Genomic DNA, 27,607 nt, shown 5'->3' on the forward strand with positions numbered 1-27,607 from the left:
GGGGGTTAGAAGTGTTGTATGAGTACAGAAAAACAGTTTTTTTCTTTTAGGATAGAAGGAGATGACAAAATATTTGGGAGCCAAGGATTTGTGGAGCTGTTGCAGGCAGATGCAGAAGGTCCTGACCTTCCTAATAGGCCTAATCTGGTAATTTTTTTTGGAGGCCCTTGGTGGGCTGTTCCTCCATCACATGGGACATATGCAACCTGGGGGAGGGCGGTATACGTTTTTTCCCCACAAGGCCATAACCTACCATATAACTGCTTGATTCTGTCACAGGAAGCTTATCTCCTTTCCTTTCCTTTCCTTTCCTTTCCCCTTCCTTCCTTCCTTCCTTCCTTCCTTCCTTCCTTCCTTCCTTCCTTCCTACCTTCCTTCCTTCCTCCCTCCCTCCCTGCCTCCCTTCCTTCCCTCCTTCCTTCCTTCCATCACACTGGGTGTACGTAACCTGGGGGATGCCTATATATAATATTATTTCCCTAAAAGGCCATCTCCTACCACTTGACCACTTGATTCTGTCACAGGAAACTCTTCTTTTTCTTTCTATTCTCTTTCTTTCTTTCCTTTCTCTCTCTCTCTCCTCCTTCCTTCCTTTCCCTCTTTCTTTCCTCCTACTCCCCTCCCCCCACCCCTTCCCCTTCCTCCTCCTCCTCCTCCTCTTCCTCCCTCACAACCCCATATCCCTCTCCCTTCCCCTCCCTCTTCTCTTTTTTCTTTCTTCTTCTGTCCTCTTCCTCTGCTTTTCTTTTTTTTGTTGTTGTGCAGCTAGGTATCATGAAAACCCTCATAGTTCTAATAAAAATTGGAGCAAAGTTCACAAAGTGTGGTCCATGTGTTAGCAATGCATGGTCCCAGGTATCACCCACAAAGATTCTAACAGGGGAGTTCTACGTGCATTAAAATTTGATAATCAGGGTCGCTTCCAAGATGGCTGAATAGAAATAGCTCTGGTCTACAGCTCCCAGCGAGACTGACACAGAACACAGGTGATTTCTGCATTTCCAGCTGGGGTAAATTGTTCATGTCATTGGGACTGGTTGGACAGTGGGTGCAGCCCATGGAGGGTGAGCCGAAGCAGGGCAGGGCGTCGCCTCACCTGGGAAGTGCAAGGGGTCAGGGGATCTCCCTTTCCTAGCCAAGGAAAGCTGTGAGTGACTGTATTTGGAGGAATGGTACACTTCTGCCCAAATACTGTACTTTTCCCACAGTCTTTGCAAATGGCAGACCCGGAGATTCCCTCCCGTGGCTGGCTCGGTGGGTCCCATGCCCACAGAACCTTTCTCGCTGCTAGTGTAGCAGTATGAGATCAACCTGAGACGCTGGAGCTTGGTGGGGGGAGGGGCTTCCGCCATTGATGAGGCTTGAGTAGGCAGTTCTATGGTCACAGTGCAAACAAAGCGGCAGGGAAGCTCAAACTGGGTGGAGCCCACCGCAGCTCAGCAAGGCCTCTATAGATTCCACTTCTGGGGGCAGGGCACATCTGAACAAAAGGCAGCAGACAGCTTCTGCAGACTTAAATGTCCCTGCCTGCCAGCACTGAAGAGAGCAGTGGCTTTCCCAGCACGGCATTTGAGCTCTGATAACAAACAGACTGCCTCCTCAAGTGGGTCCCTGACCCCTGTGTAGCCTAACTGGGAGACACCTCCCAGTAGGGGCCGACAGACACCTCATACAGGTGGGTGCTCCTCTGGGATGAAGCTTCCAGAGGAAGGATCAGGCAGCAATATTTGCTGTTCTGTAGCCTCCGCTGATGATACCCAGGCAAGCAGGGTCTGGAGTGGACCTCCAGCAAACTCCAACAGACCTTCAGCTGAGGGGGTCTGTTAGAAGGAAAACTAACAAACAGAAAGGAATAGCATCAACGTCAACAAAAAGGACATCCACCCCAAAACCCCATCCGTAGGTCACCAACATCAAAGACCAAAGGTAGATAAAACCACAAAGATGGGGAGAAACCAGAGCAGAAAGGCTGAAAATTCCAAAAACCAGAACATGTCTTCTCCTCCAAAGGAACACAACTCCTCTCCAGCAAGGGAACAAAACTGGATGGAGAATGAGTTTGATGAGTTGAGAGAAGTAGGCTTCAGAAGGTTGGTATTAATAAACTTCTCTGAGCTAAGAAGCATGTTCTAATCCATTGCAAGGAAGCTAAAAACCTTGAAAAAAGGTTAGACAAATGGCTAACTAGAATAGCCAGTGTAGAGAAGAGCTTAAATGACCTGATGGAGCTGAAAACCACAGTATGAGAACTTTGTGGAGAATACACAAGCTTCAATAGCTGATTCGATCAAGTGGAAGAAAGGATATCAGTGATTGAAGATCAAATTAATGAAATAAAGCATGAAGACAAGAATAGAGAAAAAAGAGTGAAAAGAAAGGAATGAAGCCTCCAAGAAATATGGGACTATGTGAAAAGACCACATCTACATTTGATTGGTGTACCTGAAAGTGACGGGGAGAATGGAACCAAGTTAGAAAACACTCTTCAGGATATTATCCAGGAGAACTTCCCCAACCTAGCAAGGCAGGCCAACATTCAAATTCAGAAAATACAGAGAACACCATAAAGATACTCCTTGAGAAGAGCAACCCCAAGACATATAATTGTCAGATTCACCAAGGCTGAAATGAAGGAGAAAATGTTAAGGACAGCCAGAGAGAAAGGTCGGGTTACCCACAAAGGGAAGCCCATCAGACTAACAGCAGATGTCTTGGCAGAAACCCTACAAGCCAGAAGAGAGTGGGGGCCAATATTCAACATTCTTTTCTTTTCTTTTTTTTTTTTTTTTTGAGATGGAGTCTTGCACTGTCACCCAGGCTGGAGTGCAGCGGCATGATCTTGGCTCACTGCAAGCTCCGCCTTCCGGGTTCATGCCATTCTCCTGCTTCAGCCTCCCGAGTACTGGGTCTACAGGCACCTGCCACCACGCCTGGCTCATTTTTTGTATTTTTAGTAGAGATGGGGTTTCACCGTGGTAGCCAGGATGGGCTAGATCTCCTGACCTCATGATCCATCTGCCTCAGCCTCCCAAAGTGCTGGGATTACAGGCGTGAGCCACCACGTCCGGCTCAACATTCTTAAAGCAAAGAATTTTCAACCCAGAATTTCATATCCAGCCAAACTAAGCTTCACAGGTGAAGGAGAAATAAAATCCTTTACAGACAAGCAAATGCTAAGAGATTTTGTCACCACCAAGCCTTCCTTACCAGAGCTCCCGAAGGAATCACTAAACATGGAAAGGAACAACTGGTACCAGCAACTGCAAAAACATGCCAGATTTAAAGATCATCGACGCTATGAAGAAACTGCATCAATTAATAGGCAAAATAACCAGCTAGCATCATAATGGCAGGATCAAATTCACATATAATAATATTAACCTTAAATGTAAATGGGCTAAATGCCCCAATTAACAGACACAGACTGGCAAATTGGATAAAGAGTCAAGACCCATTGGTGTGCTGTATTCAGGAGATCCATCTCATGTGCAAAGACACACATAGGCTCAAAATAAAGCGATGGAAGAAGATCTACCAAGCAAATGGGAAGCAAAAAAAAAAAAAAAAAAAAAAAAAGCAAGGGTTGCAATCCTGGTCTCTGGTAAAACAGACTTTAAACCAACAAAGATCAAAAGAGACAAAGAAGGCCATTACATAATGATAAAGGGATCAATTCAACAAGAAGAGCTAACTATCCTAAATATATATGCACCCAATACAGGAGCACCCAGATTCATAAAGCAAGTTCTTAGAGAACTACAAAGAGACTTAGACTACCACACAATAATAATGGGAGACTTTAACACCCCACTGTCAATATTAGACAGATCAATGAGACAGAAAATTAACAAGGATATCCAGGACTTGACGTCAGCTCTGGACCAAGGTAATATCCAGAATCTACAAAGATCTTAAACAAATTTACAAGAAAAAAACAACCTCGTCAAAAAGTGGGCAAAGGATATGAACAGACACTTCTCCAAAGAAGACATTTATGCAGCCAACAGACATATGTAAAAATGCTCGTCATTACTGGTCATCAAAGAAATGCAAATCAAAACCACAATGAGATACCATCTCACACCAGTTAGAATGGTGACCATTAAAAAGTCAAGAAACAACAGGTGCTGGAGAGGATGTGGAGAAACAGGAAAACTTTTACATTGTTGGTGGGAGTTCAAATTAGTTCAACCATTGTGGAAGACAGTGTGGTGATTCCTCAAGGATCTAGAACTAGAAATACCATTTGACCCAGCAATCCCATTACTGGGTATATACCCAAAGGATTATAAATCATGCTACTATAAAGACACATGCACATGTATATTTATTGTGGCACTATTTATAATAGCAAAGACTTGGAACCAACCCAAATGTCCATCAATGATAGACTGAATTAAGAAAATGTGGCACATATACACCATGGAATACTATGCAGCCATAAAACAGGATGAGTTCATGTCCTTTGAAGGAACATAGATGAAGCTGGAAACTATCATTCTCAGCAAAATATCACACAAGGACAGAAAACCAAACACTGCATGTTCTCACTCATAAGTGGGAGTTGAACAATGAAAACACATGGACACAGGGAGGGGAACATCCCACACCCAGGCCTGTTGAGGGGTGGGGGACTGGGGGAGAGATAGCATTAGGAGAAATACCTAATGTAAATCATGAATTGATGGGTGCAGCACACGAACATGGCACATGTATACCTATGTAACAAACCTGCACGTTGTGCACATGTACCCTAGAACTTAAAGTATGATTAAAAATTTTTAAAAAAATTGATAACCGATGGACTACAGGGAATGGTTCCAGAGGCTGCCGGTATAAAGAATCAGAAATAAAAGAACCTTTGCCTCTGCCAAGAGACTGAAGGGTAGTGGTGATGTTTTGAAACAATATTTTTTTAAACTATATTATTTTCTTTTGTCCTGTGATTCTTTTTTGTTATCTAATATAAGAATTTGTGCATGTTTTAATTGCTGTCCTTTGGACATCTTCTGGAGATGCTGGTGGCCCCTAAAGAAGGGAGGTATTTCCGGGTTTTCTGAAAGTTGTCAGTTAACTCTCTTCTCCAGTCCTGTAAGATCTGGAGTCTCCAAGGCCTCCCACCTGCAGCCCATACCTGTCTTGACCATGGTAGGCTGCACATCATAGCCTTGGCTGCTTAGGTCTGAGGCTAGTCTTGCTCCTCCCAAGTCAGGGTTCTTAAATTCCCAGCAGTGAGCCTAGGCTTGTGTGTCTCTCTGTCACAGTCTTTCCCTTACTCCCTCTATGCTGGCACAGGTTATGTTTGAGAGTTTTCCCCCAGTTTCTTTGCTAATTGCTTTCATTTCCCATCAGAATACAGGCCCACCCTAAGCTTCAGTCACCTTGGCTGCGTCCCTGACATCTATCCTGGCTCCTGCAGATCCTTTCAACCAGAGGCCTAGATTCTCTTTCTTGCACCTCTAGCCACAGACTATGGTCTTATTGCAAATTGACTGATTATGAGGATCTATATGAATTCGAATGCTCCCTTTCTGACTTTGAGTTTTGCTTGCCTTCTGGAAAGAAATCCACTAAAACTTGGTACCATGAGCCAGGCACGTCTATATGTGTGTTACCCCTGCCTCCAATTAGCTCCTCAATAACCCAAAGAGGAAAGTACCATCTTCAGTTTTTATGTGAATAAGGGAAGTAGGGCTCAGAGATGTTAAATAATTTGCCCAAAATCACACAGCTATTGAGGGGATACAGATGATTCTAACCCAGGTCTTCATGACTACAAACTTCATGTTTGTTGTTCTGTTCATAATACCTGGCCTTCTGCTAGTGTTCCCATCTGAGTTTGCCATGACATTTGAGATCCTACAGCAAATGGTCTGACTGCTCTTCTGGGCTAGCTAGCCTGCAGCTAGGTTAGTTTCTCCCAGCACCTGTGGCATCTGCATCAGCTTCCTCCTTTTCCTCCTCCCTAGTGGACCCCCACGTGCCTAAGCCTGCCTAAGTCATGCAAGTAGGAGGTAATGGCAGGCTGATTACTTCTACATGCTCAGTCCCCACTCACCACAATCCACAATATGTTGAGACATTGTTACCTTGAAGCAAAGGAAGTTTAAGCATCAGGGCCCCTTACTTTCATGGGCCCCTGAGAGGGTCTTAGTAGTATGGGCACATGGTAAATTAGGTATAATCACAATTAGTCAAAACCTCTGGATCTTCCCACTCAGACTTCCCTCTCCATCACGTTTCCATCTAGTCTGGAAGTGTGGAGTGCTGAGTCACCATGGGCATTTTTAGGATCTGGCTAAGGGGAGCATTTAATCTGGGCTTGGGGTGATATATTTGTGTAGTTCTTAGTTGCTTCTGTTCATGCTTAAGTCACTGCTAGTGGTACAATTTCCACCCACTGTGCCTTCTCCCCTGGCATTGCAACATGCCAGGTCTAGAGGTCTGTTATGATATGAACACACCTTATGGCACCCAGTACTCTAGGATTCTGGTACTGGAATAATAACAAGGTTTGAATGTGTGGGTTTCTAAACAACTTTTGGCCAACCACACTAGAAAATTTGAGCAATCTTTCTATCCTCTCTATGGAAAATAATATTACAAAAAAAGTTTTTACATAAAGTGGTGATCAAAGATTTGGCAACAAAAAATGTTGAGATAAAGTGTTATAGAGATGTATCAAGCAGTTAATTAAATCTTTTTCTGGATTTGGTTATTTGTTAGCTTTTTACAATTTGTAATTTGCTGTGATTGATTTCTTTTTTCACTATTTTCATTATTTACATAAGAACCCCAATTTCATACCTACTTTTGAATTCATAATTGTATATTATTTTTCTTAAAAGGGGATCCCCAAATTGCAGTCCCCACAAGATCGGATCTTCCCCTGACAGTGACATTTATAAAATGTCTAGATCTAGGCATGTGACTTGTGAAAAGTCGAAGATTTTAAGAACAGCTTTATTGTTATTAGTGTTTTTCTCTTTCCTTTGGGAAATTAAATGGCTCAAATAAAGAACAATCTCTGTCCTTTACCTCCCTGGTACCAGCTGTAATCTAGCAGTGCCCATCCAGCGTCCATCAGCATTTAAGCAGAAAGGAGGACATGTGAGATCGAAACGGTCAGAAAAACCTCTTTAATGTAGGGCACAGAATTGGAAAATAATGCAAATGAGTTCTCTCAATGTCTATTAGTTACATACATACATGTACATAAAATGTGTAAGATTTAGTTTTTGCATTCTGGGGAATAACCTTGCAATACAAAGACATAAAATTACTCAAACTTTAGTATGCCCACTAATATTTTCTTTGCTGACAAACATATATAGAAGCTGTATGTAACAGTCATATAGGGAAAAAAGATGTAATGACATCTTTAATTATCTCATTTATAAAACTACTTGGATGAAATTTCCAAAAGTAATCGTTCAAACTCAAGGCTTTTTTTCCCCCCCGGGGATGATTTTCTCTACTATTTGGTTTAAGTGTTTTCAGGTTAAATGAATGGATGGACAAATGGAAAATAATATAACACTTGTTTGTGGATCAAAATTTGATTAATGATAGAAAGACCAGCATTGTTTTCACTGATGATTAAAGTGAACAAACCAAAGGAAAGCTTAAGTAATGTGTTTTTACATTAAATTGTGATGAAGTAGACCTATAATAAAATTAATGCTCTGAAACCTCAACTGGAAAAAGAAAATTATGAAACCTACTAATTTTTCAAACTATATGAAAAACCTTTTATATATAATGCACATTAAATTCATGTGGATCAGAATGAGGTAAGGAAAACATTTCAATTATGAGGACTGGATTTCATCCCATTCTTGAAGATCTTCTTGTAAGCCTCATTCTGTTTGTTCAGACAGAAAGGCTTTTTCACATTTTTATCAAACCTGAATGTCTAGAAACAGGAATGTAGGCTTTCACAGTTCAGGAGGATTTAAAAAGAGAACTAGATAACAAAGATCATGAATAGGAACCATATCGGAAAGCGAGAAATAGGAGTTGACACCAAAACGGACCTTTCCCTGGCATTTGATCTGTACCCACATGAACTTGGCCCACTCTGTGCCCTCTCCTTGGGCGCAATCATCTTTGCGTGCTGTTGTGGTCCAGATGTATTCCTCCCGGCTTACAGCCACCCCTTCACAAGTCCCCTGACCACAACTCTTTTCCATTTCTACTCTCCTTGTCACCACTCCTATTTTGATTCTTATCATTAAAACTTTCATGCACTATCCTAATAGAAAAAGCCATCTCAAACACTTCTCTTATATAGTATGTCTGGTGTGACAACCCGGAATACGACTAACATGTCATCACAAAGCCACATAGGAGATGTGGTTTCTCCACCCCTCCCACTGTGAGAGGGAAGGAAAAGCTGCCAGGGGTCCCTTTCCCCTGCTGACTGACTCTGGAGAAATACTCAGCAGAACAGAGGAAGGCTAGGTCAAATTCCAAGACAATAATTCCAGCAGTAGGAGAATATCTAAATCGACTGTGAGATATCATACTTATGCGTTATTAAAATCACTGAGATGGATCTATATGTATGAAAATGGATAAATCTCCAAGACATATTGAGTGTAGGAAAAAAAGTAATTTCAGAATAATAGTACCTAATCTGAAAATCCAAAATCCACAATGCTCCAAAATTTGAAATGTATTGAGCACCCACATGATGATCAAAGGAAATTCTCACTGGAGCATTGTGGATTTTGGATTTTTAAATTAGAGATACTCAACCAGTATGTATAAGGCAAATATTCCCAAAATCTGAAACACTTCTGGTTTCAAGCATTTTGGGTAAGAGATATGCAACCTGTGTCTACTACAATGTGTCATGTGGACACAGGGCTCTGGTACAGAGCAGGCACTTACATATTTACTGAATCTTGAATAAATGAATTTATGAAAAAATATCCAGATACAGTCACATAAAATAATGTTACATGTTTCAATGGATATATATATAAAGAGGAAACTATACATTATATATGTTAGATATATATTTATATAGTAAATACATGTTAAAAATATATAATCATTATATCTTATGTATTATATGTAAAATATTGTGTCATACTGTATATATTATAAAATATCTAATATATTATTTATATTATATAAATACAAATAAAATATAGTTATACTTTTAATGTATTTTAAAAGTAATGTATATATTATTTAAATATAAATAAATAAAGGAAATGATCTCATACCCACAGTTATTACTGGGAAAGTGGGAGAAGCCTGGGAGACTGGGGTGAGTTGTCAAAGAAAATTTAGTGTTACTTGTAAAGTTTTAATTTTTTTAAAAGGAAAACATGTGCAAGTATTACTTGTGAAATTTAAAACTTCTATGGCATCATTCTTGCTAAGCTTTATGGATGTGTTGCCACATGCAACAAAGAAAAATCTTAGAAAATTCTTATAGTGGCTGTACATGGCAAATCATGGGTTGGCCTTAATGATACAATGCCTAGATTACCAGAAAGCCAGCTAACTATGGTTGGTTCCCCTCACCCCTTTCCTGCTCTTTCTTGACCTCTAAAATCGCAGGAGTTAACTCTCAGTTAAATGACAGTTGTACCTGACTTGGAGGGGCCCTGGGAGCAAAGGAAGGTGAGTAGCAACATTTCAGAGTAGCAAATTTCATTCTCCTTCCTCCGACACTGTGGCCCTATCCTTCTTCCACTGGTTGATGCTCCTGCTCTCCAGGCCTCTAGGAAACGGGCATCCATACTGTACTGAAATACCCTACCCAAGTGTGTCATTTATCACAGCTAAGAAAGGAGGTGACCAAATGAAACACACTAAAGTAGAATGATTGCTATGCCCAGCTTAACCTTTTTAAGGTTATCTCCTTTACCCAAATGACACTGTAACTTAGGCAATTTCAAGCTGAGGGGAAAAGAAGGATATTTTGGGCAGAGCACCCCCAGCTCCCACCATAAGGTTTTACTATTAGGCATTAGGGAAAGACAGAAAGAAGAAAGTGTTAAGGAGACACTGAACATTGGTTGTAGTTGAGTCAGATGACTATCTTGCATTTGAACCTTTGGTAGGTTCAAACTGTTGACAGTGGATAACAAAGATTGAAGGGAATCCCTCTCCTTGGACACATGAACCACCACCTATGGCACTGTCATCTCCTGCCTCCCTCCACTTAGTGAAAAATGGGACCTTAAGCAGTGTCAATCTTCCATAAAACAAAACTATTCCACAAAAATGGTTAATTGAACACTGAAGCAATGAGTCTGGGGATAATGAGGTCCTGTGGGTTCTATTTGCTAACGGCAGGAATTGATTATTTCACACTGCACATCTAATTAAAGTGGAGAGGAGTAATGAGCAGTGAAGTTATAAAATGAATATGATAATCAATTAGGTTTTTACTTCTGCTTAAAATAATTTAGAATAGCCCATCTACTGTATATTGAAACTAATATAATCAGTTTAACAGACCTTGATGCATTCAGAGAGAACAACAGACTGCCAAATCCTGCCTATCTCCTCGTAGGACATTATCAAAACAATATCTTGAGCCTTGGTGAGAAAAATCACAAAAAAACCACATTAGGCAGAACATCACTTTTCCATTATGTCATACATACCAAATGCTTTCTGGTCCTGCTTATGTTTACAGAACAAAGTGGGTCAAAGGAATTTACTGAGATCATAAAGGGCAAGATAAATGCTGGAGCTGAGCACCCCAGTAGCTGCTAGACTTGATGGAATTAAAAATGGAAAATTAACCTATGACTCAGGAAATCAACCTTTTAGATAGTTCTGGAACACTAAGTGTGGAAGGACATTCATTTAATATAGTACAGACTAAGAACAGCACTGTGAGATTTACTAGATGTACTAGAAAAGCATGGTAAGATGAAAGAGCTAGTATGTGCACATGTGTGCCTTGTGTGTGTATGTGTGTGCTGTGTGGACTATGTGAGCTCTATGGTGTGTGTACATGAAAGTATGTACACACACATGCTTGCACAGCTGTGACTGAAGCAATTTAGAGTTACTCTGTGTTATTATATCTGAGTTAAGTGATGAGAACTGCAGGCTAATGGTTAAAAAATGTTCAACAGCTCTTTTTCATGTCATATCAGTGGATTGTAAAATACTGTGGTGACATATTTTACTGAGAGTTTTACTTTAATATGAGGAAAACGATTGAGCAACATAGGACTTGAAATATGAAGTACTATACTACAGTCTTCTAAAAAGAATACGCTGGGTGTTAGTTTGTGATCACAAATATATATTTCTACTGAAGAAAAAGGAAAAGATGTCATGTATATATTCAAAATCCAGACAGTGCTTGTACATCAGTTAGATAACTGTTAATAAGACCTGAAAGGGTGAGATAACTGTTCCATGGCACTTCTTGGAATGATCACTGTCTGACACTCGTTGAGCTTTTGTGGGTGAGGTCATTCGTATGCTGCAAAATGTCACTCCAGTCATTCAAATGGTAAATGCTTAACTTCTAGAGAAATAAAATTTCTAAAAAGAGATCTGTAAACACATCTCAATGGCACAACTGGAGAAGAAAACCCCATCATCCGAAAACTCAGAGTAGCCTTGAGTTGATGCTCATCATGCAGTGAAGATGGGAAAACTACAGGGTGAAACATTAATATCTCTTTGTTGTGTCTGTTAGCTTCACAAAAGCATTTGACACCATGCATGGAACTGAGCTCTGGAAGATACTAGGTGTGGCTGCATTGAGAAGTTCATGAACACTCTTAGGCTAGCCTGATTGCATGGTTGGTCAAGTTGGAGTGGGGGGTACCGAGACAGAAAATGTATAAATAATACTTATATTTCGGCTTGTCAGCTTGAGGAAACTAAGTGCAGAGTATTCCTGGGCATCTGAAAAACTTCCAATGGAATAGGCCACATTATTGATGAAAGTCTTTGTTATAAAACTTATTTCCAAAAATAACCATATACAAATGACTAGGCTCTAGGAACATATCCACAAGACATAGTTTATCATGTCATGGTTTTAGCCAGTACTAAGCATTGACAATAAATATGAAGAATAAATAGGTGGATACAGCAGCACCAGAAAGACTGTATATGTAGCAACAAAATGTTCAAGGGTAATGCTGCATGGCAGGTTTTCCTACGGTGTTTTACAGAGCATAAGCATCCTATGACATATTGACAGGTATTCTGAGGCAAAAGTTTGAGAAATTCTACATACTATAACAGCCCTGTCTCCCTCCTGGTTCCAAAACCTGGGATTCTGCGAGTCTAGGAAGGGAAATGGATGGAACAAAGAGTAGAAACCTGCCATGTCTGGTGTTAATATGACATGAAGATCAACTGCCCCCACATCCCACCCCGCTCCAAACAAAACAAAACAAAACAAAACAAAAACAAGCCAGCCGGGCGCCGCGGCTCATGCCTGTAAATTCCAGCCCTTCAGGAGGCCAAGGCGGGTGGATCACCTGAGGTCAGAAGTTCGAGACCAGCCTGGCCAACAGGGTGAAACCCCATCTCTAATAAAAATACAAAAATAAGCCGGGTGTGGTGGTGGATATCTGTAGTCCCAGCTACTCCGGAGGCTGAGGCAAGAGAATCGCTTGAACCCGGGGGGCAGAGGTTGCAGTGACCCAAGATCGTGCCACTGCACTCCAGCCTGGGCAACAGAGTGAAACTCCATCTCGAACAAACAAATAAACAAACTAACAAAAAAATAAATAAATAAGCCCTGCAGAGGTCATGCATGCTAATGAATCCATATAGACTTCCCTATTCCTCTTCCGGAGCAGTTTCTTATATACTAGCTATGAATCCCTTTACCATGGCAACATCACAAAAGAAAAGGGCCAGGAGAAGGGTTAAAGGTAAAAGACAGGATTCCAAGTTCAATTTGAATTTCAGATAATCAATGAATAATTTTTTGGTACAAGTGTGTCTCAAATATTGCATAAGACCCACTTATAGGAAAAAATAAAATAATTTTTTATCTGAAATTCAGATTGAACTGTCCTCTATTTTCGTTTAATAAAGCTGGCAGCTCCAACCAAAGCACATAGCCTGTCTATCAGTGTCAGAACAGTGCCCAACACAACACACAATTCTCTGAGGCCCAAGATGTTTGGAGAAGGGACGGTTGTGGAATCTCCAAGAACCTCTGCTCACTAAAATGCAGTAGAATAACCAAAAGCTAAGAACTCAGCAGATTCACCGAAGCACAGCTTCAGCCAGTGTTGCATAACTAGAAATTAGGGAATCAGAAAGTGAGGAACCAAATCAGCCTGAAATGCAGTTAGAGCGGATGTGGTACTATGTCTGAGCAAAGCTTTCTGGCTGAGGGAGGTTAAAAGACAGTGTAACAGGTGACAGAGGGCTTTTCAAGCAATGACTGAGGTTCCAATCAAAAGACAAACTTCACATATGCACAGTGGAAAACGGCTTCTTGCTTCCAAGGTGGGCTTTTCGGTCACACTCATTTCCCCTCACACACATATACTAATTATAATAAATATTGATAACATAATCACGAACACGAAAACCAGCTAGACCTAACTGTCATAGGAGCAGAGTGGTAAATTCTGGTTTGGGTTGTCAGAACAATTGATAGATGTTTTATAAAGATCATGTTTTTTGCTACAAACAAAGGCAGAGTTCATCTATCGTGTTTCCAAAATACATTCCCTACTGAATGCACTGCCAGAAACCATTTTCATCTTTGTTGGTATAAATCCCAGAAAATCAAATTTGAAAAATGAAGTGCTGATTGGAATTCTCAAACTCCAGGGTGAAGGCAGATGCTGTTACTCAGTGTAATTATTGTCTCTCATCACAGGATGAAGTCTGATTACATTATGGTCAGAGGGAAGTAACAGTTAACATTGTCAGATAGGAGGTTTCAGCATTCTCAGCTCTGTTTGACCCAAATCAAACAGACCAGAAAAAGAATCTCCTTGATCTAATTCTATTGCTCTTGCTTTAGTGTCTGTATGTTACCTCTAGAGTGGGCTCTGAGGAGGCCTCTGAGTAGTGAAGACATATTTAGGAACTTAGAATTTAGGAGATACAACACCAATTTTATAAACATCCAACTTAGGAATGACCCATATCTATGAAGCCGCAAAACTGTTGCTACTGTTTCAGGAACGGCCTCCAAGTCAGTGCCCCCATCCCTAGGAGAGCTGCTGCAGCTTCTGGAGCCACACTGGGTTGTCAAGAGATGAGTATGTGAGGACCATACCAACTGTCCCCCTAAAAATGTAGGGAAAAATCTACTGGAGAAAGATAATTTCCAACCTCTTCCCAAGCCTTTCTGGGCAGTACCTTGGTTCCAACTTCCACAGGATGCTGTGATTTCAATGAGAGTCAGTCAATCAGAAGCCAGCTGATCTCCTCCACCCCCATTCTACCACATCATCCAGGAAGAGTTCATTTCAAAGGGAATTCTCAGAAGCATATCATTAAAAACCCAATAAGAGACTAGATCTGCTGCACTTACCAGGCCTGTACCCTCAAGGATAATCAATCTTACCATGACTTTTATCCTGTCATCTTTGGCCACCCACAAAATGCAAGACCCTCCAGGCAACTGTCATCCCATATATTATTCTCTGCTTCCTTGCCCCACCTCTGTCTCATCCCACCCATTCCTCCTTCCACTGCTGGCCTCCCTGAGAACCTGCCCACTCTGCTCTCTGGAACCCTCATTCCATTGCAGTTTAACTCTCCCACACACTCCACATTTTCATGGAATTTTCCTTCAGCCTTTTCCCTTCACTGACATCTCACTTTCCCCTTAAGGACATTGCCTTCTCTGGAGCCCTATCAAGGGGAGGATGTTTATTCTCCCACAATGTAAATATCAGAGGGGCCAGAGACAGTGTTGGCCTTCTGGCTCCCAGATACCGTTTCAGAATTAAAAACTATTCCTCCGTTGAGATTTGTAACATTTGGTCCCACTACCCACTCTTTCCAGTGATGTAACTTAAGGGTGCCCTGTGTATATTGGATCAAAGAGTGAAAAAATCATCCAGTACCCCCAGCCAACCTGGGCTCCTGGTTCACAGTTTTCCTACCCACCTAATTTCTTCTCAATATCTTGAATGACTGCAGCACCCACAAAGGAACTCCATTTAACAACTCTAGCCTCAAAATTCCTTAATCTCCAATGATCTGTGTGACCACTTCTGTCTCTACTTCTTTACCTCCTAGTTGTCCATCTGTTACAGTGAGCTTTCTGCCTGCCCCTACACTCTCTGAGACTGCTTTGGCAAAGGTCACTGATCACTTTCCACCCAGATCCAACAGATTCCTTGAAGTTCTCATCTTACTTGACCACTCTGCAATGTCCAGTACTGTGAACCACATCCATCTCCTTCAAACTCAACCTCTAGCTTTCCTTCTGAGATCTTGCTCTCTTGCCCAGCTCTCTTCTGCCTTTCACAGTTCTCCTTTGCTGGATCTTCTGCCTCAGCCTACTCTGCCAATACTGGGGCTCCTTAATAAGCATTCTGCCTTTGGTCCTCTTTTCCTCTTTTCCTGGCTACCCTTCTCCTTATGAAATGAAACTATAACTGAGGCAGTTTCAAGCCTTGGACCCCCTTATCTGCTCTCATGGCTACAACAGTCAATTATACATTCATTTCTCTAATTAAGCCTTTGCTTTGAGCGCTAAAGCTATACATTCGTTTGCATAGACATTCCCATCTCGTGCTCATTCTTAACATATGCATAATTTAACCAATCAACCCTCCCTCCAAACCTACTTTTCTTGGAAAATGGCACTGTATCCACTCAGAAACCTGAGTGTAATCCTAGGTTATTCATCTTACCTCCATTCTAATCAGTTCTCTTTGCTATGTATCTCAAATGTTTGTCTCATCTTTTCAGTCCCTACCGTGGCTGGCTTGGTCGAGGTCCTTATAATTACGTAGCTTGACTGCTGTTACAACGTCCTGTCTACCTTCCCTCCAGTATCCAAATTACTCTGCACATTGCTATCAGTGCTCTTTCTATAACAGAAATATGGCCATGCTACTTTTCTGTTAAAAAGCCAGAACGGCTCCCTACTGCCAAGAAAATAAAGTTCTAAATTCAAAAGCATGGCTTTTAAGCATCTCATGAACTGGTCTCTCTTTAGCTTTGTTTCTTGCTAAACACCATCCTATCCACACAAACCCTACAATCCAACCCAACCAAATGCTTTTGCAACATCACAGACCCTCTGTGTGTCCTACACCTCTGCACATTTGCTTGAGAAGTTCCCTAGGCCTCAGTGCTCTCTTCTTTACTTCCCTCCCCTATTAATTCTGCCATATATATATATATATATATATATATATATATATATATATATATATATATATGATTACTCTTTGAAGATGTTGTTCAACTACTACCTCTTCCAGACAGGTTTTTCCTAAACCTATCTGGGAATAGTTGGCATCCGTTTTCCATGTCCCAGGGCACCCTGTACATCTGTGCACCATAGGTGCTCTTTGAGATTGTGAGCCAGTTGACACAGGTACTGGGTCTCATTTACCTTCTAAACTCCAACACCTTGTACAGTGTCTGGTACCTAGCTTGAATTCAATGAATTTTTATTCAATGAATGAATAGGAGCCACTGCTCCTTTAGTTAAGGATAGGTCTTTATGCTTCCCAGTGCTCCTGCAGTAGAATGTCTTATGTTCTCCACCTCATTTAGAATAGCACAGTACTTCATGTGTTTCACAGAGTAAATACATGATTGGCGAAAGAATAATGTTTTATTTCCAAAGTTTGGGCAAGGCTGTGTGTGTGTGTGTGTCTGTGTGTGTGAAAGAGAGAGAGAGAGAGAGAGATAGAAACAGAGAGAGAGTGAGAAAGAGAGGGACCTTCTGTTCCCTGACAGGGCTTGTGCTCTTGGCATCCAAAGTAGAAATACAGCATATATTTTGTCATGAAAACAATGTTAAAAATAGTGATTAGATTACATAATTCCTATACTTATTCAACTTTATGGGCCATATTACTATAGAGTTACATTGTGGGCTTTAAAGTTATGTAATTCAGCTAAATTAGGGACTACGCTGGTATCTTGGAAATCCTGGAAAACTTACTGGCTGTGCTAGATACTGTGATGCGCCATCCAGATACCCCTTGAAGAATAAAGGTCGTATTCCTCCAGCTGCGGGGAGCATGTTAGAGGAAAGTACTCACTGTCAAGCCTATCTGGGGATTTTCTCAGCTGGAAAAAACCTGCCTGATTTAAAGCCATGCTCCTTACAGGGGCAGGACTACATCCAACGACTGACCATTGTGAGGGTAGAAAGGCCCTGTCCCCAGCCATAACTTAGGACAACTCTGAAAGGCCTGCCCAGCTCCAGAGCCCCTTGTTAGGTCAACTGAGGCTGTTGTCAGCTGGCAAAGTTGCAATACAGCTCATCTTCTCCGTCCTCTAAGTCCTGCTCCTGTCCTCTCACTTCCACAGGTGTTGGCCCCAGGGGCACGCCCTAATAAGCATCCAGCTCAGACTTTGCTCCCCCAGGAATCCAGCCTACTAATATATGGGGAAATGCAACCTGAGCTCAAAATAATCCACTGGCAAAGTAATTTGGGGATGCAATGTTCAATAAAATGAAAATTATCTGTGTTCTGACTCAGGCTTAGTATTTATAATCTTTTATCCTGGAGCCAAAAGATAGGGTTCCCATGCCCAGAACCATAGTTAACTTTTCTGTTGCCTACAAGTAAATCAGTCTGGGCAATTTGTCTTCTATGATTGTTTGGTTAGGGTTCTTTACCAGGCCTGAGATGAGTGCCCTCTCCCCAGAATTTTTTTTATTTTTTAGAAAAGGTCTCACGTTGTCACCCAGGCTGGAGTTGCAGTGGTATGATCTCAGCTGACTGCAACCTCTGCCTCCAGGGCTCAAGTGATCCTCCCACCTCAGCCTCCCAAGTGGCTGGGACCACAGGCATGCACCATCATGCTTTGGCCTCCAAAAGTGCTAGGTTTACGGGCAAGAGCTACTGTACTTGGGCCCCAGAAGTGTTTGAATGGAGGTTTGAAGGTATTCCTCCTATTTGAAGAATTCATTTTCTTGAGTAGGCAATATTCATCCTAGTTTATAGACACAACTGAATATAAATAGAGCCTTTTAGGCTGGGTGCAATGGCTCATGCCTGTACTCCCAGCACTTTGGGAGGCTGAGGCAGATGGATCACCTGAGGCCAGGAGTTCGAGACCAGCCTGGCCAACATGGCAAAACCCCGTCTCTACTAAAAATACAAAAATTAGCTGGGCATGGTGGTGGGTACCTATAATCCAGCTACTCGGGAGGCTGAGGCAGGAGAATCCCTTGAACCCAGGAGGCGGAAGTTGCAGCAGGAGAATCCCTTGAACCTGGGAGGCGTAAGTTGCAGTGAGCCGAGATGGCTCCATTGCACTTCAGCCTGGGCGACAGAGTGAGACTCCATCTCAATAACTAACTAAATAGATAAATAAATAAATAAATAAATAAATAAATAAATAAATAAAGCCTTTTTCCCCAACCTCAGGGCAAACTGAGAAAAATGGGCATGTGATTCCCCCTACAACTAGATGGGAAAATGGAAATGTTGGTCGGGATTCTACTTGTTTTCTCTTGGTGATTCTAGAACAATGCTCATTTGTTTTGTTGAAAATAAACAAACAAGCAAATAACACAATACAAGCAACTCTTTTTCCATTTCAGATTCATTCCACTTAGCTATCTCTTCCTTTACCCTCTACTCTTCACTGTCCTTGGCAGACCTCCCTTCTAGTCATTTCCCTGCTGTCACTGGCTACTTGGATACCAGAGTCATGGGCTTCCTCTATATGTCCATCCCAGCTGTCACCTTGGACAATTTTAATATCCATAGGGAATAGGTATGCATTTTACCAAGCTTACTTTCTGTCTCTTTGATGCCTCTGGTTTGAATCCTCTACAAACTTAGAATCTGTGTTTTTTGTTCTGATCATACCCTTTTCTCCAAAGAGTCTGGAAGTGATGACTGAATGGAATACTTTTTTGCAGAAACCCTCAACTATCCAGTCCCTTTTCTTGTGCGTTTATTACACTGAAAGACAGCTCCATCAACCTGTTTATCTCTCCCACCAGATTAAAAACTCCTGAGGTGCTCATAAATGGTGACTTCAAGTTGAAGACCTTAATGGGATCACAAAGACTACTAGACAAAACAAATACTCACACCAGAAAGCAGAGATCCGTGTACTTACTCACTCTCATGTGTGCATTATCTTTCTCTCTCTCCCCCACAACCCCTTCTTTATCAGGTATCATTTATTCATTTCATCCAAGCCATATAGCCTTCAAATAGGCAGGATACAAAGGTGCATTTCTCTGATGTAGCACCTAGAATAAACCTTGATAACTGTTTGGTCAGTACTGTGCTCTGCAAAAGTGCGATTGACCACAGAGCTATAGAGAAGTCAATGGTCCATTTACTGATTGTTTCTTTAATTGCATTCATGAGGAAATGCAAAGATCAAAGTGTGGTCAGTTCCAAAAGAGAGGATGAGATGGATCATGGGTGATTTCAAAGCAGAGGTAGGCATTCATGCTTAAGGCCTGCAACAAAGCAAGCTGGAAAGAACCTTAGAAACAATATGATTTTTATTCTATTTCTCTGGTTGCTTTATGAGTGAGTTTTACCTCTATCAAATTCTCCTTGAGCTTTTCTTTTAAACCTGTTAGAGGATTGGGTATATTGAGACTTTACAAATAGTAGTTTGTAAGCAGTTTGTAAAGGCTTAATATACTCTTTGAGCAAGAGTAAAACAAACTCAAGGAACTGACTCAAGGTTTGAAGCAGCAGCCTAGGGAAGCACCAGCTCCACTGTTCTCCTTCTTGTGTCTATAGCTGCATAATTAGCATCTAAGTGCCAGAAGCACTGAGAAAGCTGGGAAGAGAGAGAAGCAGAGCCTTCCTTTATGCCATGAAGACCTGCGGTGGGCTCCCTCCCCTCTATCTCCCTATGTTCCTCTCCTCTTCTTTGTTTCCAATTACTCCCAGCCTGGTCTATTACATTTCCTAAACTATTTACTTGCTCTCCAGGCACCTCATCTCCAATATACTCCAAAGAGTTCCTTTAAAAATACCTCCCCAGAGCACAACTATCACCATAGCCCCTTCTGCTTTGGTGGTTCTCTTACAACCAAATGGAAAAAAAAAATCCCCTGGCTTGGCATTCAAAGATTTCTATAACATGACTCCACTTATTCAATAAAGAAAAGTAAGAAATTAAAACAATATGAAAGCATACAAAGTTAAAAGAAGTTCCCATCTATTCCTTTACTCCCTCTCCCTAAGGCAACCATTCTAGCAATTTCTCACTTATTTTTCTAGCCTTATTTCTTCTGATTTCCTGCACACCTCCAAAGCTCTGGCTAAACAAATATCCCTGCCAACTCTACACGGGTTTCCTTGTGTCCCTGCTCCCAAGACTTTGCTCATATTATTCTTTTTTTAACTTGTATTTTTAGTTGTAAATGGACAAATTATCATTGTATATATTTATGAGGTACAAAGTGATGTCATGATTTATGAATTCAATGTGGAATAATTAAATAACACTAACATATCCATCACTTCAAATACTTATCATTTCTTTGTGGTCAGAATATTTGAAATTTACTCTGTCAGCAATTTTGAAATGTACATTATTTATTATATTCATTATGCAGTACAATATATCTCAAAGTAAAAGACAACACTTCTCCCATCTAGTTGAGGCTTTGTACCCTTTGACCATCATCTCCCTATCCCCTCCTCCCAGCTTTTGGTAACCACCATTCTACTCTCTGCTTCTTTGAGTTCGATTGTTTTAGATTCCATGTATAAGTGAGAACATGTGGTATTGTCTCTCTGTGCCTGGCTTATTTCAATTAGTATAATGATCCCCAGTTCCATCTATGTTGTCACAAATGGCAAAAAGTCTTTCCTTTTAAAGGTTGAACAGTATCGCATTGTGTATCTGTACCACATTTTCTTTATCCATTCATCTGTTGATGGACATTTAGGTTAACTCCATCACTTGGCTACTGTAAATAATGGTGAAGTGAACATGGGAATGCAGACATGTCTTTGACATCTTGATTTCAAATCTTTTGGATACATATTGATTTCAAATCCAGAAGTGGCATTACTGGATCATATAGTAATTCTATTTCTAGTTTTTCTAGGAACCTCCATATAGTTTTCCACAATGGCTGTATTAATTTACATTCCCACCAACAGTGTACAAGGGTTCCCTTTTCTCCACATCCTCCCCAACACTTGTCATCTCTTGTCTTTTTGATAATAGCTATTCTGACAGGTGTGACTTGGTATCTTATTGCAGTTTTTAATTTGCATTTCACTAATGATTGGTGATATTGAACATTTTTTCATGTATCTGTTCATAGACTGGAAGAATTAATATTGTTAAAATGTCCATGTTACTAAAGTGATCTATAGATTCAATGTATTCCCTATCAGAATTCCAAAATCATTTTTCATTGCAATAGAAAAAACAAATTCTAAATTTCATATGGAACCACAAAAACCCCTGAATATCCAAAGCTATCATGAGTAAAAAGAACAAACAGCATGGTCCTAGCATACAAATAGACTCATCGACCAATGGAACAGAATAGAGAGCTCAGAAATGAACCACACATGTAGACTCAACTGATTTTTGACAAAGATGCCAAGAATACACAAGGAGAAAAAGAGACTCTTCAATAAGTGGTGTTGGGACAACTATTTATATGCAGAAGAACAAAACCGGATGCTTATCTCACACCATATTCAGAAATCAACTCAAAATGGACTAAAGAGTTAAACTTATCTGAAACTGAAAAATTACTAGAAGAAAAGATGGGGGAAAAAACTACATGACACTGATCTGGGCAATAATTTTTTAGATTTGACCCAGAAAGTGTAGGCAACAAAGGCAAAATTAGACAAATGGGGTTACATAAAAATAAAAAGCTTCTGCAGAACAATGTAAACAACAGAGAGCAGAGGCAACCTATGAATTGGGAGAAAATATTGTAAGCCATACAGCTGATCAGGGATTCATATCTGAAATAGATAAGATATTTATAAGAAAATCCAATAACTCTACAGAAAGAAAACCAATAATTCAATTTAAAAATGGGTGACCTGGCCAGGCGCAGTGGCTCATGCCTGTAATCCCAGCACTTTAGGAGGCCAAGGTGGGCAGATCACAAGGTCAAGAGATTGAGACTATTCTGGTTAACACAGTGAAACCCCGTCTCTACTAAAAAATACAAAAAATTAGCCAGGCGTGGTGGTGGGCGCCTGTAGTCCCAGCTACTTGGGAGGGTGAGGCAGGAGAATGGCATGAACCCAGGAGGCGGAGCTTGCAGTGAGCCAAGATCATGCCACTGCACTCCAGCCTGGGCGACAGAGCGAGACTCCGTCTCAAAAAAAAAAGGGTGACCTGATAGACATTCCTCTTAAGAAGACATATAAATGTTCACATTATTCTTTAAGACTGAGATGTTCTTTCTTCCATCTTTGAATGTCCAAATTCTGCCCATCCTTTGAGATTTAACTTTCATGTCACCTGCTCTGTAATGCTTTTCTCAACCTACTTATTAAATCCTCTCCTTCTCCTTTGAATTCACAGAGTATTTCTTCCAATTCCTGCTTAGAGCACTTGTTATTTCAGTCTCTGCTCTTTGGGTACAAAGCCAGCCTCCACTGTTTAAATGTAAGCTCCCCAAACCAGAGACCCATTCTCCGTTCACCTTGGCATTGCCTACAGCATGTACCCTGGTACCCTGGGCCTTTCTATATACACAGCAGGGACTCAACAAATTCTCATTGAGGAGGAGATAAGGGTCTGGAGCCTCCAGGCTACAGCTTTGGCTTTCATTTCACCTTTTAAAATGCCAATGGCATCATCTGTGATGAGTGGGTTCTGTTGGTATCTCAAAGAGTTAAAGGAGGTGGTGAGTCATCAGGGCTCTCAGAACACTGACTGGTTCCAGGTGACTATTTAGAATAGGCAGTCAGAAAACTAAAACAGAAAGAAATTTTTAAAAAACTCCAACCTTAAAATGCCTCCTATTTTAAAGTGAACAATACAACTCTTTCCAAACTACGGAGCGGAACAATCTCTCTCATTATTTCAATGAAACCAAAACAGACATTTAAACTCCAAAACAACAACAAAAAGCCCCAAAGCCCCTAACCTTCCTTGGCCATGTCAGGCTGCTTGCGCAATGACTCTGCAGGGCTCTCTAGGGAACCATGAATTCGGTTTCATTTTCTAATCTGAAGGGAGTTATTTTCAGCATAAATTGGTAAAGTGGAGGTGAATGGGAAATGAGAGAGGGTTGTCAAAGGGGAGACAGTTTCACAGCAGTTTCAGAGATGGTCAGATTTACTTACTTTCTGCATTAGAAGCAGCCCTAGGGACAGTTAATAGAAACTGTTAACACTGACATAAGGCAGAAATTCTTTCAAAACAACATACTTATTAATTTTTTTGTATTTGGTTTAGTTTATACAAGCCTCTTGTATATAAAATAATGGAATAATAAAAGCCTGATCAGCTCCTAGAATCTTAAATATTGTAATGAACTATCCCATTACCTGTTGCTTTGCCGCCTTGATTCATCCACAACAATTTTCATCCTATTTGTAGTTTTGCCAAAAAAAAACACATCAATCCCCAATCAATCCCTCCCCCAAATGGTGAGATCATTATCATTCCATTTGTGAGCCTACCTCTGCTTAAAGTTATTGGTAGAACTATATCCAATAACAGTGAAAACAACTCAAAAACCCTTTCAGATAGAAGTCTCTTCTTCAAAACTTTAACCTCATTTGTATTTGGACCTTACAAAAAATTTCCATTCTTTTTTCAATGATTTTCTATTCAAGTAAACTTTATTCATTCTCCAAACAAAACTCTAGTCTGTCTCAATAGCAATATCAAGGGAGGAAAAGAGTTACTGAAACTCTTGACTATAATTATAAGGAAGGAGAGTGATTATAAGATGCTGTGGGGAAGAAGAATTATGAGAAGGGAGATGGTGTGGGCAAGAAGACATAGAAATAGAAAAGGCCTGGCACACAACAAGGGGCTGGGCAGTGATATCTGAGGCCATTTCTGCATGGGTACAATAGTGTGTGCCTTTGGAAAAGGCCAGTAAACAGAGCTCCTCCTCTATCATAAGCCATGAGGTTCTAACATGAGTACCGATTTTATTTCAGCAGAGATGCCAATCCCATGCTCTCTATAGCCAACAATGTCAATTGGGGAAATTGTGGGGCCAGGGAAGGCACTCACGGTTCTTGTCTCCATGAAAAGCCTCACCAGCCACCCAGACACCAGGGGGCCAATCCTCACCCTTACCCCCAGCATCCAATCTGCCCCAGATCCCTGTCCACTCGACCTCATAAATGCTTCTGATGCCCCTGCCTCTCTCTCATCATCCCTGTCCTTTGGCCTGGACTTCTGCTATGGCCTCCTAACTTGTCATGCAGTCTTAGTGTCCTCTGTCAATCCCTTCTTCCCATGTCAATCAACCTGTCGTCCCAGCCTTTCACTCCCCAGATCCTAACCACACCTGGCTTTTGTACTTCCTAAAATGCTCCTTCCACCACAAAGGCCTGGAAAGCTATTCATGCCATTGATTCTCTCTGCTTGTAATATTCCTTCTAGCCACATTTCTACCTTCACCCCCGCTTTTGGGATTTTCCTGGTCTTAACCGGAGGTTGGCTTCCTGGTATGTGCTTTCTCAGTAATACAGACGTGTACTTCTGTAATCGATTGTTCAGTGGCTGTCTTCCCTGTCAATCTGTACATACTCTGAGGTCAGAGGCTGTATTTGTCCATGTATATTTTATTCTGTAATATGGAATAAAACAAGAACTTATAGGATAAAGATTAAATGAGTTAATCCAGGCAGAGAACTAGAATAGTACCTGATGTATATAAGGACTGTGTAAGCTGTGGCCATAGTAATACTAATTAGCACTATGCCTAGAACAAAGGATGTGCTCTATAAATTATTTGTTGAATGAAAGAGGAATGAATAAATGAATGAATAAATTAATGAATTCAGCAATCCAGATGGCCCCCTTTTCCCAACCAGCAAAGATGTATAGAAAACTATCACAGGGAGGAATTATTGATCTTCATTGTCTACTGCCATCACAATAAGTGGTAAAAACAGCAAGTTTGGTTTCCTGGGATTTTGAGTTCATTCTACCATGTTGCTGAAAAAATATTCAAAGCAAGGAGAAATGGAATTAAGAGATAAAGAATTGTAATGTCACAAAATGTATTTCCATGCTTCTCAATCTTGTCTTAACTAAAATATATGCTTCTTAATGAGCACCATACTGCTTAATTATTTCCAGGCTGAATCCTTCAGAAAACCATGCATGTCAGGTAGTCCATTCCAACACATGTTTATACAAAACATTTCATCTTAGGTTGCCAAAAAGGGAAGGGCTTTACCCATTTGTTCTAGGACATTCCATAGATCTGGTTCCTCAATGTGTTTAAGGGAAAGGCATCAGTCACCTGAGTGCACATCATGCTCTGCTGGCCTAACAGAAACACACGCGAATGAACTTGGGCTCCCAGCACAGTCTGTAGTAGCAGGACTGACACACCTTTCAAAAGCTGGAAACAGGAGGGAGGGCAGCCAAGATGGCTGAATAGGAATAGCTCTGGTCTAAAGCTCCCAGCGTGAGCGACGCAGAAGACGGGTGATTTCTGCATTTCTGTCTAAGGTACTGGGTTCATCTCACTAGGGAGTGCCAGACAGTGGGTGCAAGACAGTGGGTGTAGTGCACCGTGCGTGAGCCGAAGCAGGGCAAGGCATTGCCTCACTCGGGAAGCGCAAGGGGTCAGGGAGTTCCCTTTCCGAGTCAAAGAAAGGGGTGACAGATGGCACCCGGAAAATCGGGTCACTCCCACCCTAATACTGCGCTTTTCTGATGGGCTTAAAAAACGGTGCACCAGGAGATTATATCCTGCACATGGCTTGGAGGGTCCTGCACCCACAGAGTCTCGCTGATTGCTAGCACAGCAGCCTGAGATCAAACTGCAAGGAGGCAGCGAGGCTGGGGGAGGGGCGCCCGCCATTGCCCAGGCTTGCTTAGGTAAACAAAGCAGCCGGGAAGCTTGAACTGGGTGGAGCCCACCACAGTTCAAGGAGGCCTGCCTGCCTCTGTAGGCTCCACCTCTGGGGGCAGGGCACAGACAAACAAAAAGACAAACAAAAAGACAAACAAAAAGGGCACAGACAAACAAAAACAAACCACTGCAGTAACCTCTGCAGACTTAAATGTCCCTGTCTGACAGCTTTGAAGAGAGCAGTGGTTCTCCCAGCACAAAGCTGGAGATCTGAGAACTGGCAGACTGCCTCCTCAAGTGGGTCCCTGACCCCTGACTCCCGAGCAGCCTAACTGGGAGGCACCCCCCAATAGGGGCAGACTGACACCTCACACGGCCGGGTACTCCTCTGAGACAAAAATTCCAGAGGAACGATCAGACAGCAGCACTTGCGGTTCATGAAAATCTGCTGTTCTGCAGCCACCGCTACTGATACCCAGGCAGATAGGGTCTGGAGTGGACCTCTAGCAAACTCCAACAGACCTGCAGCTGAGGGTCCTGTCTGTTAGAAGGAAAACTAACAAACAGAAAGGACATCCACACCAAAAACCCATCTGTACATCAGCATCATCAAAGACCAAAAGTAGATAAAACCACAAAGATGGGGAAAAAACAGAGCAGAAAAACTGGAAACTCTAAAAAGCAGAGCACCTCTCCTCCTCCAAAGGAACGCAGTTCCTCACCAGCAATGGAACAAAGCTGGACGGAGAATGACTTTGACGAGTTGAGAGAAGAAGGCTTCAGACGATCAAACTACTCTGAGCTACAGGAGGAAATTCAAACCAAAGGCAAAGAAGTTAATAACTTTGAAAAAAATTTAGAAGAATGTATAACTAGAATAACCAATACAGAGAAGTGCTTAAAGGAGCTGATGGAGCTGAAAGCCAAGGCTCCAGAACTACATGAAGAATGCAGAAGCCTCAGGAGCTGATGCAATCAACTGGAAGAAAGAGTATCAGTGATGGAAGATGAAATGAATGAAATGAAGCAAGAAGGGAAGTTTAGAGAAAAAAGAATAAAAAGAAATGATCAAAGCCTCCAAGAAATATGGGACTATGTGAAAAGACCAAACCTACGTCTGATTGGTGTACCTAAAAGTGATGGGGAGAATGGAACCAAGTTGGAAAACACTCTGCAGGATATTATCCAGGAGAACTTCCCCAATCGAGCAAGGCAGGCCAACATTCAGATTCAGGAAATACAGAGAATGCCACAAAGATACTCCTCAAGAAGAGCAACTCCAAGACACATAATTGTCAGATTCACCAAAGTTGAAATGAAGGAAAAAATGTTAAGGGCAGCCAGGGAGAAAGGTTGGGTTACCCACAAAGGGAAGCCCATCAGACTAACAGCAGATCTCTTGGCAGAAATTCTACAAGCCAGAAGAGAGTGGGGGCCAATATTCAACGTTCTTAAAGAAAAGAA

General features: G+C 41.4%; 1 protein-coding gene across 8 annotated transcripts in view, besides 4 other annotated features; it reads right to left on the reverse strand.

Moving 5' to 3' along the window:
* KIF6 (kinesin family member 6) overlaps window positions 1–27,607 on the reverse strand; it is a 395,419-nt gene that overhangs the window by 177,332 nt on the left and 190,480 nt on the right. The gene's annotated exons all lie outside the window — the stretch shown is intronic.
* Window positions 23,056–23,195: an enhancer, noted in NCBI's record as "active region_24493". NCBI's record gives its function as "activates an Ori minimal core promoter by ATAC-STARR-seq in GM12878 lymphoblastoid cells {active_cell/tissue: GM12878}" and the evidence as "EXISTENCE:reporter gene assay evidence [ECO:0000049][PMID:35858748]".
* Window positions 23,306–23,365: an enhancer, noted in NCBI's record as "active region_24494". NCBI's record gives its function as "activates an Ori minimal core promoter by ATAC-STARR-seq in GM12878 lymphoblastoid cells {active_cell/tissue: GM12878}" and the evidence as "EXISTENCE:reporter gene assay evidence [ECO:0000049][PMID:35858748]".
* Window positions 23,386–23,465: an enhancer, noted in NCBI's record as "active region_24495". NCBI's record gives its function as "activates an Ori minimal core promoter by ATAC-STARR-seq in GM12878 lymphoblastoid cells {active_cell/tissue: GM12878}" and the evidence as "EXISTENCE:reporter gene assay evidence [ECO:0000049][PMID:35858748]".
* Window positions 25,774–25,963: a silencer, noted in NCBI's record as "fragment chr6:39500871-39501060 (GRCh37/hg19 assembly coordinates)". NCBI's record gives its function as "represses an EF-1alpha promoter that drives an FKBP-Casp9 reporter gene in an ReSE screen in both phorbol 12-myristate 13-acetate-treated (for megakaryocytic differentiation) and untreated K562 erythroleukemia cells {active_cell/tissue: K562 | K562(+PMA)}" and the evidence as "EXISTENCE:reporter gene assay evidence [ECO:0000049][PMID:32094911]".

Source organism: Homo sapiens, chromosome 6, assembly GCF_000001405.40.
Source record: "Homo sapiens chromosome 6, GRCh38.p14 Primary Assembly".
Taxonomy (NCBI): Eukaryota; Metazoa; Chordata; class Mammalia; order Primates; family Hominidae; genus Homo; species Homo sapiens.